At 43.1% G+C, this 13,121-nt stretch overlaps 1 protein-coding gene and 1 long non-coding RNA gene across 7 annotated transcripts in view, besides 3 other annotated features; one reads left to right on the top strand and one right to left on the bottom strand.

The window, feature by feature from the left end:
• LOC105378519 (uncharacterized) overlaps nucleotides 1-13,121 on the top strand; it is a 79,804-nt gene that overhangs the window by 60,415 nt on the left and 6,268 nt on the right. The window lies entirely within an intron of this gene.
• Nucleotides 9,393-9,947: an enhancer, noted in NCBI's record as "OCT4-H3K27ac-H3K4me1 hESC enhancer chr10:122670804-122671358 (GRCh37/hg19 assembly coordinates)". NCBI's record gives its function as "activates a minimal SCP1, AML or CMV promoter by ChIP-STARR-seq in naive H9 embryonic stem cells {active_cell/tissue: H9 hESC(naive)}" and the evidence as "EXISTENCE:reporter gene assay evidence [ECO:0000049][PMID:30033119]".
• Nucleotides 9,393-11,084: a biological region, named in NCBI's record as "BRD4-independent group 4 enhancer GRCh37_chr10:122669667-122670866".
• Nucleotides 9,885-11,084: an enhancer, noted in NCBI's record as "BRD4-independent group 4 enhancer chr10:122669667-122670866 (GRCh37/hg19 assembly coordinates)". NCBI's record gives its function as "activates an origin of replication core promoter dependent on BRD2, P300/CBP, MED14 and CDK7 cofactors, and independent of BRD4, by STARR-seq in HCT116 cells {active_cell/tissue: HCT116}" and the evidence as "EXISTENCE:reporter gene assay evidence [ECO:0000049][PMID:35650434]".
• WDR11 (WD repeat domain 11) overlaps nucleotides 11,715-13,121 on the bottom strand; it is a 58,163-nt gene continuing 56,756 nt past the window's right edge. For all 5 annotated transcript variants that reach the window (XR_428707.4, XM_005269963.3, NM_018117.12 and 2 more), the window contains one exon: nucleotides 11,715-12,683. Coding sequence is in view for 4 of the 5 variants with exons in the window: in XM_005269963.3 (XP_005270020.1) it covers nucleotides 12,526-12,683 (158 nt within the window). In the remaining variant the exon portion in view is untranslated. The remainder of the gene's footprint in view (nucleotides 12,684-13,121) is intronic.

Raw genomic sequence — 13,121 nt, 5'->3', positions numbered from 1 at the left:
TAACGTTTAAGTCTTTAATCCATCTTGAATTGATTTTTGTATAAGGTGTAAGGAAGGGATCCAGTTTCAGCTTTCTACATATGGCTAGCCAGTTTTCCCAGCACCATTTATTAAATAGGGAATCCTTTCCCCATTGCTTGTTTTTCTCAGGTTTGTCAAAGATCAGATAGTTGTAGATATGCGGCGTTATTTCTGAGGGCTCTGTTCTGTTCCATTGATCTATATCTCTGTTTTGGTACCAGTACCATGCTGTTTTGGTTACTGTAGCCTTGTAGTATAGTTTGAAGTCAGGTAGTGTGATGCCTCCAGCTTTGTTCTTTTGGCTTAGGATTGCCTTGGCGATGCAGGCTCTTTTTTGGTTCCATATGAACTTTAAAGTAGTTTTTTCCAATTCTGTGAAGAAAGGCATTGGTAGCTTGATGGGGATGGCATTGAATCTGTAAATTACCTTGGGCAGTATGGCCATTTTCAAGATATTGATTCTTCCTACCCATGAGCATGGAATGTTCTTCCATTTGTTTGTATCCTCTTTTATTTCCTTGAGCAGCGGTTTGTAGTTCTCCTTGAAGAGGTCCTTCACATCCCTTGTAAGTTGGATTCCTAGGTATTTTATTCTCTTTGACGCAATTGTGAATGGGAGTTCACTCATGATTTGGCTCTCTGTTTGTCTGTTGTTGGTGTATAGGAATGCTTGTGATTTTTGCACATTGATTTTGTATCCTGAGACTTTGCTGAAGTTGCTTATCAGCTTAAGGAGATTTTGGGCTGAGACAATGGGGTTTTCTAGATATACAATCATGTCGTCTGCAAACAGGGACAATTTGACTTCCTCTTTTCCTAATTGAATACCCTTTATTTCCTTCTCCTGCCTAATTGCCCTGGCCAGAACTTCCAACACTATGTTGAATAGGAGTGGTGAGAGAGGGCATCCCTGTCTTGTGCCAGTTTTCAAAGGGAATGCTTCCAGTTTTTGCCCATTCAGTATGATATTGGCTGTGGGTTTGTCATAGATAGCTCTTATTATTTTGAAATACATCCCATCAATACCTAATTTATTGAGAGTTTTTAGCATGAAGGGTTGTTGAATTTTGTGAAAGGCTTTTTCTGCATCTATTGAGATAATCATGTGGTTTTTGTTTTGGCTCTTGTTTATATGCTGGATTACATTTATTGATTTGCGTATATTGAACCAGCCTTGCATCCCAGGGATGAAGCCCACTTGATCATGGTGGATAAGCTTTTTGATGTGCTGCTGGATTCGTTTTGCCAGTATTTTATTGAGGATTTTTGCATCAATGTTCATCAAGGATATTGGTCTAAAATTCTCTTTTTTTGTTGTGTCTCTGCCTGGCTTTGGTATCAGAATGATGCTGGCCTCATAAAATGAGTTAGGGAGGATTCCCTCTTTTTCTGTTGATTGGAATAGTTTCAGAAGGAATGGTACCAGTTCCTCCTTGTACCTCTGATAGAATTCGGCTGTGAATCCATCTGGTCCTGGACTCTTTTTGGTTGGTAAACTATTGATTATTGCCACAATTTCAGCTCCTGTTATTGGTCTATTCAGAGATTCAACTTCTTCCTGGTTTAGTCTTGGGAAAGTGTATGTGTCAAGGAATTTATCCATTTCTTCTAGATTTTCTAGTTTATTTGCGTAGAGGTGTTTGTAGTATTCTCTGATGGTAGTTTGTATTTCTGTGGGATCGGTGGTGATATCCCCTTTATCATTTTTTATTGCGTCTATTTGATTCTTCTCTCTTTTTTTCTTTATTAGTCTTGCTAGCAGTCTATCAATTTTGTTGATCCTTTCAAAAAACCAGCTCCTGGATTCATTAATTTTTTGAAGTGATTTTGTGTCTCTATTGCCTCTTTTTTTTTTTTTCTTGAGATGGAGTTTTGCTCTTGTTGCCCAGGCTGGAGTGCAGTGGTGCAATCTCAGCTCACTGCAACCTCCTTTTCCCAGGTTCAAGAGATTCTGCCTCAGCTCACTGCAACCTCCTTTTCCCAGGTTCAAGCGGTTCTCTTGCCTCAGCCTCCCAAGCAGCTGGGAATACAAGTGCCCGCCACCACACCCGGCTAATTTGAGCATCTTTCTTTTTTCTTTTTTTTAAAGAGATGGAGTCTCGCTGTCGCCCAGGCTGGAGTGCAGTGGTCCCATCTCAGCTCACCTCAACCTCTGCCTTCCAGGTTCAAGCAATTCTCCTGCCTCAGCCTCCTGAGTAGCTGGGACTACAGGTGCACACCACCACACTCAGCTATTTTTTTTTTTTTTTTTTTTTGTATTTTAGTAGAGATGGGGTTTCACCATGTTGCTGAGGCTGGTCTCGAACTCCTGAGCTCTGGTAAGCTGCCTGCCTCGGCCTCCCAAAGTGCTAGGATTACAGGCGTGAGCCACTGCACCCGGCAATTTGAGCATCTTTAATTGTCCTTGGCTTTGCTCACTTTAAATATGGAAGACGGGAAAGCTAAAAATCATGCCAGGTCACCTGTGGAACCCAAAATGTCCTTCTTTCTCTTATACTTAGGACATATTTTATCTTAAGTCATATTTCTCAATGTTCTTGAAAAAAATAAGGTGAGGGTGGTTTTTATTTGGCATTTTTAGGCATGATGCCAAACACCAAAGAGAAAGGCCTGAAATTGTCCACAGGGACTCCTGTGAGAGCCTCAGTCGCTCATCATCTCTCAGCGGGAGAAAAGCGGGGCTTTCCCGGGTTATTTTGAATGTGTGCTGCGTGCTGACCAAACAGGCATGGAAGGAAAGAAAACATGCAGGACCCTTGCAGGAAAGGCAAGGCGAGGTGGCGGCTGTCTGCCCTTCTGATTTCCTCTTAGACCTGACATCTCATTGGATTCCAGCAGTTTTCAGAAGTGCCTTCCAAAAGCGCAGCTCCTCCTTCCTTCTTTTAAAGTGGCAGCAACATGTCCTTGATTAAAACTGCCATTACGTTTTAATTAAAAGGGTTCTTTCATTCACAAGTCATTTTGAGTCAGTCAAAATAATCTCATGCAGGCTCCCAGAGAAACGGCCCCGTTGCCTGGAACATTCTCCCTTGGGTGCCTTCCCTGCGTGGCCCTCTTTTATTTCAGCAGCACAGTTACAAGTTTGTGCCTGAATGCTTTACTTCAATCACATCCTGTTGCTGAGAATGGAATATCCTGGGTAGTCACAGAGCTCAGGATTCACTGAAACCTAACACCATCCTGAGGCAAGAGGAAGCCTCAGGAAACAAATAGATGAGAGAGAAATTGTTTTCTTATTTCATTGTGTCTACATGTTGAGACTTTCTGATCGGGTACCTGTGTGAGAGGGACATGAGGCTTGTATGAATCTGCTCTGTTATCTCTTTTGAAAGAACAAAATGTCCTGCTACTACGTCCAAAGCAATGATTAAACCTAGAGCAAGACCGTGGTGGGGCAGCCAGCCACATTTGGCAGAGCATTTCGTTAGCAACAGAGGAGGAAAAAGGTAACGGTGAGCAGTAGGAAATGGCTCAGAGACCAGTCAAGGGGAAGCACCTACCACCCACCACCTGGCCTTCTTCCTGAAGAAGCCCCACCTCCAGAGTGGCTCCTCCACCCCCACCCAGGCTTTGTGGCAAAGGGAAGGGCCCAGGCCTTGCCCAGCAGCTTCTGTGGGGGCTGGCACTGGGGCCAGGGTCTGCTGTCCTGAAGTAATTCTCAGTCTTATTCCCAATTTCAGCTGCTTGTTTCAGCTCGTGAAGCCACCTCATTAGTGTGTTGACAACACGTATTCTTAATGATCTTTCGTGAAAAGATATTCAGAAAGGCTAAATGTGAAAAACAATTCATACTTGTTCAGCTCTTGATTTCCAATGCTTGATGGAGGTGAGTATGGCAGTTTTCAGCAGTGTGGCTGTGAATATCACCAGAGATCACCTGTTCTGTTTGGAAGGGGATTTTCAGTGGTGTCTCGACCAGGCTTGGTCTCTGTGTCCCCGTGGGAGTCCTAACTGCTACACTAGCCAGCTGGACTGACACAAACCCAGGCTCTGGGCCTTGTCTGCTCACTGTGTTTATACCGAGCTGCCGTGCCTGGCCCTGCTTCACTCTCACCATCAGGCAATGCCTTAGTACCTATTTGTTGGCCTTAATCCAAAGCATTTTCATTTTTCAGAAAGCACGACTCTGGTATAAAGTTTCTTCTTTCTCTCTGCTTCGCAAGTCTCGTAATTCACATGTTGAAGCCTTACCGTCCAGTGTGATAGTATTTGAGGGTTCAGCCTTTTTTTTTCCTTATTTATTTATTATTATACTTTAAGTTTTAGGGTACATGTGCACATTGTGCAGGTTAGTTACATATGTATACATGTGCCATGCTGGTGTGCTGCACCCACTAACTCGTCATCTAGCATTAGGTATATCTCCCAATGCTATCCCTCCCCCCTCCCCCCACCCCACAACAGTCCCCAGAGTGTGATGTTCCCCTTCCTGTGTCCATGTGATCTCATTGTTCAATTCCCACCTATGAGTGAGAATATGCGGTGTTTGGTTTTTTGTTCTTGCGATAGTTTACTGAGAATGATGGTTTCCAATTTCATCCATGTCCCTACAAAGGGCATGAACTCATCATTTTTTATGGCTGCATAGTATTGCATGGTGTATATGTGCCACATTTTCTTAATCCAGTCTATCACTGTTGGACATTTGGGTTGGTTCCAAGTCTTTGCTATTGTGAATAATGCCGCAATAAACATACGTGTGCATGTGTCTTTATAGCAGCATGATTTATAGTCCTTTGGGTATATACCCAGTAATGGGATGGCTGGGTCAAATGGTATTTCTAGTTCTAGATCCCTGAGGAATCGCCACACTGACTTCCACAATGGTTGAACTAGTTTACAGTCCCACCAACAGTGTAAAAGTGTTCCTATTTCTCCACATCCTCTCCAGCACCTGTTGTTTCCTGACTTTTTAATGATCACCATTCTAACCGGTGTGAGATGGTATCTCATTGTGGTTTTGATTTGCATTTCTCTGATGGCCAGTGATGGTGAGCATTTTTTCATGTGTTTTTTGGCTGCATAAATGTCTTCTTTTGAGAAGTGTCTGTTCATGTCCTTCACCCACTTTTTGATGGGGTTGTTTGTTTTTTTCTTGTAAATTTGTTTGAGTTCATTGTAGATTCTGGATATTAGCCCTTTGTCAGATGAGTAGGTTGCAAAAATTTTCTCCCATTTTGTAGGTTGCCTGTTCACTCTGATAGTAGTTTCTTTTGCTGTGCAGAAGCTCTTTAGTTTAATTAGATCCCATTTGTCAATTTTGTCTTTTGTTGCTATTGCTTTTGGTGTTTTAGACATGAAGTCCTTGCCCATGCCTATGTCCTGAATGGTAATGCCTAGGTTTTCTTCTAGGGTTTTTATGGTTTTAGGTCTAACATTTAAGTATTTAATCCATCTTGAATTGATTTTTGTATAAGGTGTAAGGAAGGGATCCAGTTTCAGCTTTCTACATATGGCTAGCCAGTTTTCCCAGCACCATTTATTAAATAGGGAATCCTTTCCCCATTGCTTGTTTTTCTCAGGTTTGTCAAAGATCAGATAGTTGTAGATATGCGGCGTTATTTCTGAGGGCTCTGTTCTGTTCCATTGATCTATATCTCTGTTTTGGTACCAGTACCATGCTGTTTTGGTTACTGTAGCCTTGTAATATAGTTTGAAGTCAGGTAGTGTGATGCCTCCAGCTTTGTTCTTTTGGCTTAGGATTGCCTTGGCGATGCAGGCTCTTTTTTGGTTCCATATGAACTTTAAAGTAGTTTTTTCCAATTCTGTGAAGAAAGGCATTGGTAGCTTGATGGGGATGGCATTGAATCTGTAAATTACCTTGGGCAGTATGGCCATTTTCACAATATTGATTCTTCCTACCCATGAGCATGGAATGTTCTTCCATTTGTTTGTATCCTCTTTTATTTCCTTGAGCAGCGGTTTGTAGTTCTTGAAGAGGTCCTTCACATCCCTTGTAAGTTGGATTCCTAGGTATTTTATTCTCTTTGAAGCAATTGTGAATGGGAGTTCACTCATGATTTGGCTCTCTGTTTGTCTGTTGTTGGTGTATAGGAATGCTTGTGATTTTTGCACATTGATTTTGTATCCTGAGACTTTGCTGAAGTTGCTTATCAGCTTAAGGAGATTTTGGGCTGAGACAATGGGGTTTTCTAGATATACAATCATGTCGTCTGCAAACAGGGACAATTTGACTTCCTCTTTTCCTAATTGAATACCCTTTATTTCCTTCTCCTGCCTAATTGCCCTGGCCAGAACTTCCAACACTATGTTGAATAGGAGTGGTGAGAGAGGGCATCCCTGTCTTGTGCCAGTTTTCAAAGGGAATGCTTCCAGTTTTTGCCCATTCAGTATGATATTAGCTGTGGGTCTGTCATAGATAGCTCTTATTATTTTGAAATATGTCCCATCAATACCTAATTTATTGAGAGTTTTTAGCATGAAAGGTTGTTGAATTTTGTCAAAGGCCTTTTCTGCATCTATTGAGATAATCATGTGGTTTTTGTCTTTGGCTCTGTTTATATGCTGGATTACATTTATTGATTTGCGTATATTGAACCAGCCTTGCATCCCAGGGATGAAGCCCACTTGATCATGGTGGATAAGCTTTTTGATGTGCTGCTGGATTTGGTTTGCCAGTATTTTATTGAGGATTTTTGCATCAATGTTCATCAAGGATATTGGTCTAAAATTCTCTTTTTTGGTTGTGTCTCTGCCCGACTTTGGTATCAGAATGATGCTGGCCTCATAAAATGAGTTAGGGAGGATTCCCTCTTTTTCTGTTGATTGGAATAGTTTCAGAAGGAATGGTACCAGTTCCTTCTTGTACCTCTGGTAGAATTTGGCTGTGAATCCATCTGGTCCTGGACTCTTTTTGGTTGGTAAGCTATTGATTATTGCCACAATTTCAGCTCCTGTTATTGGTGTATTCAGAGATTCAACTTCTTCCTGGTTTAGTCTTGGGAGAGTTTATGTGTCAAGGAATTTATCCATTTCTTCTAGATTTTCTAGTTTATTTGCGTAGAGGTGTTTGTAGTATTCTCTGATGGTAGTTTGTATTTCTGTGGGATCGGTGGTGATATCCCCTTTATCATTTTTTATTGCGTCTATTTGATTCTTCTCTCTTTTTTTCTTTATTAGTCTTGCTAGCGGTCTATCAATTTTGTTGATCCTTTCAAAAAACCAGCTCCTGGATTCATTAATTTTTTGAAGGGTTTTTTGTGTCTCTATTTCCTTCAGTTCTGCTCTGATTTTAGTTATTTCTTGCCTTCTGCTAGCTTTTGAATGTGTTTGCTCTTGCTTTTCTAGTTCTTTTAATTGTGATGTTAGGGTGTCAATTTTGGATCTTTCCTGCTTTCTCTTGTGGGCATTTAGTGCTATAAATTTCCCTCTACACACTGCTTTGAATGCGTCCCAGAGATTCTGGTATGTTGTGTCTTTATTCTCGTTGGTTTCAAAGAACATCTTCATTTCTGCCTTCATTTCGTTATGTACCCAGTAGTCATTCAGGAGCAGGTTGTTCAGTTTCCATGTAGTTGAGCAGTTTTGAGTGAGATTCTTAATCCTGAGTTCTAGTTTGATTGCACTGTGGTCTGAGAGATAGTTTGTTATAATTTCTGTTCTTTTACATTTGCTGAGGAGAGCTTTACTTCCAAGTATGTGGTCAATTTTGGAATAGGTGTGGTGTAGTGCTGAAAAAAATGTATATTCTGTTGATTTGGGGTGGAGAGTTCTGTAGATGTCTATTAGGTCCACTTGGTGCAGAGCTGAGTTCAATTCCTGGGTATCCTTGTTGACTTTCTGTCTCGTTGATCTGTCTAATGTTGACAGTGGGATGTTAAAGTCTCCCATTATTAATGTGTGGGAGTCTAAGTCTCTTTGTAGGTCACTCAGGACTTGCTTTATGAATCTGGGTGCTCCTGTATTGGGTGCATATATATTTAGGATAGTTAGCTCTTCTTGTTGAATTGATCCCTTTACCATTATGTAATGCTTTGTCTCTTTTGATCTTTGTTGGTTTAAAGTCTGTTTTATCAGAGACTAGGATTGCAACCCCTGCCTTTTTTTGTTTTCCATTTGCTTGGTAGATCTTCCTCCATCCTTTTATTTTGAGCCTATGTGTGTCTCTGCACGTGAGATGGGATTCCTGAATACAGCACACTGATGGGTCTTGACTCTTTATCCAATTTGCCAGTCTGTGTCTTTTAATTGGAGCATTTAGTCCATTTACATTTAAAGTTAATAGTGTTATGTGTGAATTTGACCCTGTCATTATGATGTTAGCTGGTTATTTTGCTCGTTAGTTGATGCAGTTTCTTCCTAGTCCCGATGGTCTTTACATTTTGGCATGATTTTGCAGCGGTTGGTACCAGTTGTTCCTTTCCATGTTTAGCGCTTCCTTCAGGAGCTCTTTTAGGGCAGGCCTGGTGTGACAAAATCTCTCAGCATTTGCTTGTCTGTAAAGTATTTTATTTCTCCTTCACTTATGAAGCTTAGTTTGGCTGGATATGAAATTCTGGGTTGAAAATTCTTTTCTTTAAGAATGTTGAATATTGGCCCCCACTCTCTTCTGGCTTGTAGGGTTTCTGCCGAGAGATCCGCTGTTAGTCTGATGGGCTTCCCTTTGAGGGTAACCCGACCTTTCTCTCTGCCTGCCCTTAACATTTTTTCCTTCATTTCAACTTCGGTGAATCTGACAATTATGTGTCTTGGAGTTGCTCTTCTCGAGGAGTATCTTTGTGGCGTTCTCTGTATTTCCTGAATCTGAACGTTGGCCTCCCTTGCTAGATTGGGGAAATTCTCCTGGATAATATCCTGCAGAGTGTTTTCCAACTTGGTTCCACTCTCCCCATCACTTTCAGGTACACCAATCAGACGTAGATTTGGTCTTTTCACATAGTCCCATATTTCTTGGAGGCTTTGCTCATTTCTTTTTATTCTTTTTTCTCTAAACTTTCCTTCTCACTTCATTTCATTCATTTCATCTTCCATTGCTGATACCCTTTCTTCCAGTTGATCGCATCGGCTCCTGAGGCTTCTGCATTCTTCACGTAGTTCTCGAGCCTTGGTTTTCAGCTCCATCAGCTCCTTTAAGCACTTCTCTGTATTGGTTATTCTAGTTATACATTCTTCTAAATTTTTTTTCAAAGTTTTCAACTTCTTTGCCTTTGGTTTGAGTGTCCTCCCGTAGCTCAGAGTAATTTGATCGTCTGAAGCCTTCTTCTCTCAGCTCGTCAAAGTCATTCTCCGTCCACCTTTGTTCCGTTGCTGGTGAGGAGCTGCGTTCCTTTGGAGGAGGAGAGGTGCTCTGATTTTTAGAGTTTCCAGTTTTTCTGTTCTGTTTTTTCCCCATCTTTGTGGTTTTATCTACTTTTGGTCTTTGATGATGGTGATGTACAGATGGGTTTTTGGTGTGGATGTCCTTTCTGTTTGTTAGTTTTCCTTCTAACAGACAGGACCCTCAGCTGCAGGTCTGTTGGAGTACCCTGCAGTGTGAGGTGTCAGTGTGCCCCTGCTGGAGGGTGCCTCCCAGTTAGGCTGCTCGGGGGTCAGGGGTCAGGGACCCACTTGAGGAGGCAGTCTGCCTGTTCTCAGATCTCCAGCTGCGTACTGGGAGAACCACTGCTCTCTTCAAAGCTGTCAGACAGGGACATTTAAGTCTGCAGAGGTTACTGCTGTCTTTTAGTTTGTCTGTGCCCTGCCCCCAGAGGTGGAGCCTACAGAGGCAGGCAGGCCTCCTTGAGCTGTGGTGGGCTCCACCCAGTTCGAGCTTCCCGGCTGCTTTGTTTACCTAAGCAAGCCTGGGCAATGGCGGGCGCCCCTCCCCCAGCCTCGCTGCCGCCTTGCAGTTTGATCTCAGACTGCTGTGCTAGCAATCAGGGAGACTCCGTGGGGTAGGACCCTCCGAGCCAGGTGCGGGATATAATCTCGTGGTGCGCCATTTTTTAAGCCCGTCGGAAAAGCGCAGTATTCGGGTGGGAGTGACCCGATTTTCCAGGTGCTGTCCGTCACCCCTTTCTTTGACTCAGAAAGGGAACTCCCTGACCCCTTGCGCTTCCCAGGTGAGGCAATGCCTCGCCCTGCTTCGGCTCGCGCACGGTGCACGCACCCACTGACCTGCGCCGACTGTCTGGCACTCCCTAGTGAGATGAACCTGGTACCTCAGATGGAAATGCAGAAATCACCCGTCTTCTGCGTCACTCAGGCTGGGAGCTGTAGACCGGAGCTGTTCCTATTCCGCCATCTTGGCTCCTCCCTCGAGGGTTCAGCCTTTTGGAGGTAATTAGGCTGAGGTTGACCCCATGATGGGATTAGGGCCTATATAAGGGGAAGACAGACAGCCTGCTTGCTTCACGTGCATACACAGAGGAAAGGCCACATGAGTACGTAGCGAGAAGGCGGCGCTCTACAAGCCAGGAAGTTCCTCACCAGGAACAAATCTGCTGGCATCTTGGTCTCGGACCGCCAGCCTCTAGAATTATGAGAGATAAATGTCTGTTGTTTAAGCTACTCAATCTCTGTATTTGGTTATAGCAGCCAAAGCTAAGAGAATGGTTGAATAAAGAAATCTGGACAAATAATAAACAATGTAAAGAAAGTGGCGTTTGCATGTGGCCTTTAGAAAGTCTACTGCTGTGTGTCTAGGCAAAGAAAGGACAGGAAACACGAGCCAGGTATGGGACCAATAATGGATCCTGAATTTCTTCTAGAACTGAGAGGTGAAGCCAGCTGGACTTCCTGGGTTGAGTGGGGACTTGGAGAACGTTTCTGTCTAGCTAAAGGATTGTAAATGCACCAATCAGCATTCTGTGTCCAGCTAAAGGATTGTAAATGCACCAATCAGCACTCCGTAAAAATGCACCAGTCAGTGCTCTGTGTCTAGCCAAAGGATTGTAAATGCACCAATCAGCACTCCGTAAAAAAACACACCAATCAGTGCTCTGTGTCTAGCTAAAGGATTGTGAACGCACCAATCAGCACTCTGTAAAATGGACCAATCAGCAGGATGTGGTCAGGGGCAAATAAGGGAATAAAAGCTGGCCATCCCAGCCAGCAGTGGCAACCTGCTTGGGTCCCCTTCCATGCTGTGGAAGCTTTGTTCTTTCGCTCTTCACAATAAATCTTGCTGCTGCTCACTCTTTGGGTCCGTGCCACCTTTAAGAGCTGTAACACTCACCGTGAAGGTCTGTGGCTTCATTCTTGAAGTCAGCGAGACCAAGAACCCACCGGAAGGAACCAACTCCAGACACAGAACTGCTCGCCAAAGCACCGAGCTACGGACAAATATTCCTGGGACAGGCCTTCCTTTCCATGGAGCTCAGTTCCTTGGCAGAGGGTGTCAGACTGGTTGGTCTAACGGTAGAAAGAGGCTATGCTTCTCTTTAAAAATTGTACCTCTTAGTGGGTATGATGTGTCACCCAGCAGGCTCAGGAGGGAAAAGATGGAAGTGCTCACCCCCTCATCTCCAAAAGCTGTGCACTAAGCCACATTCCCACTCGGGAACTCAGAGGTAGACTTGCCCGGGGTGTGGGTGTCATTCCTGCCCTGTACCGCACCCATGGGATTCCCACATACAGGTTTCTCTGGATACAGCAGGAGCAGCCAGGCTTTAGAGGCTGGGCGACCAGATGACTCCTAAGGAGCCACCTCATGACCTGGCCTCATGCACAGCAATGCAGAGAACACAAAGGCCTGGATGGAATTTTTAATTTATTTATCATGTTTGTAAGTTACAGACATTTATGTTTTCAGCAACAGTTTATAATAGTTACATCTCATACTTCAACTATTAGAACAGAGAGAACATTAAAGTACAAAGAAAGACTTCAAAAATGAGGTTACTGTGATGTATCATAAAAGGAGTTAAAATTCAAAATATCAAAGACCTCACCTATCGGACTAAACATAAATCTTAAAACCTCCTATGGTCCTCTGAGCCTAAAATTACAAAACTTAGCAACTGCTTAAACCAAGGAATTAACGGTTCTGTGTTTTCAAGGTAAGAAAACAAAAAATGCTTTGGTAAACTACCTTTAATACTAGTTTAAATGTTTCTGCCTTGTTTGTATCTCTCTTGAAAGACTGTATATAAGTACAGGCACAGCATATATTTGAGAAAACATCTCACAAATTTCATTTACTATAGGTTTCTCAATAATCTTTACATTTAATCAATGAGAAAAGTGATTCAGTCTCTTGAATTTTAAGTTAAAAAAATTAAAAAGTATTTCCAGGGACTCTTAAAGCTCTCTCCCAAAGTATAAAATATTATGTACTTTCAAAATCTTAAGCATTCACGTTCTTTCTGAGACCAACGCAGGATACAAACTTACTCTCAACATAGATGCTTATGTGCTTTTGGGCACACATAGTCTTAGAACAGTGGTCAAACAGCTCACAGGACCCTGTACTCCTCTTCATCCTGGACTGTGACGGTGGCCACAGCCAGACCAGCCCCCTCCCATCTGCCTTCCAGGTCAGATTCCCTGGCATTTATTAAGCTGTCACTCTTCAATGGGTTCTTCCTTGGGGGACTCAAGCTCATTCAATAAGTCTTTGCCAGCTGCTCCGGCTTTTGAAGCAAAGAGAACTGCTCCCTGCTTAAAACCGAGGTTCTTCAAACTCCGGGCATAATCTGCATATATAGCAGTGATGAGTTTCTGTAAACCATAGTTAAGGAAAAGAAGAGTAAAAAGGGCTGTGATGAGACTCTTCACAGGCTCCCAGAAGCAGGAAGGGTGAGTCGCGTCTGCTCTGCTGGCTGCTCGGAAGGGACCTGGTGTCCACAGCGGGCAGCACAGGATGAACACAGGAGACTTTTCGCGGGCAGAGGGTGATTCCCGGCCATAGTAGGCCATGTCTCAGTCTGTACCATCATTACCTTTCGTACCAGCTGAGTCCAAAGCTTCTCCTTCCAGAAGACCCAACCAACATCCTCCCATAACCTACACTCAACTGAAGATTGGAAGATGAATGATAAGAGAGGAGAAACTTAACCTGCATATCCTCATTCCATTTGAAAGTCTGAGAGGCTGGCAGTTTGGGGGCAGATATTTATTTCTGAATGTTCCCTATATCTGGTTGTTGGGTTTTTAGAAAG

This window comes from Homo sapiens, chromosome 10 (genome assembly GCF_000001405.40).
Source record: "Homo sapiens chromosome 10, GRCh38.p14 Primary Assembly".
Classification (NCBI taxonomy): Eukaryota; Metazoa; Chordata; class Mammalia; order Primates; family Hominidae; genus Homo; species Homo sapiens.
The sequence above is the reverse complement of the archived record's forward strand: the minus strand, read 5'-3'. Positions and strand labels throughout refer to the sequence as shown.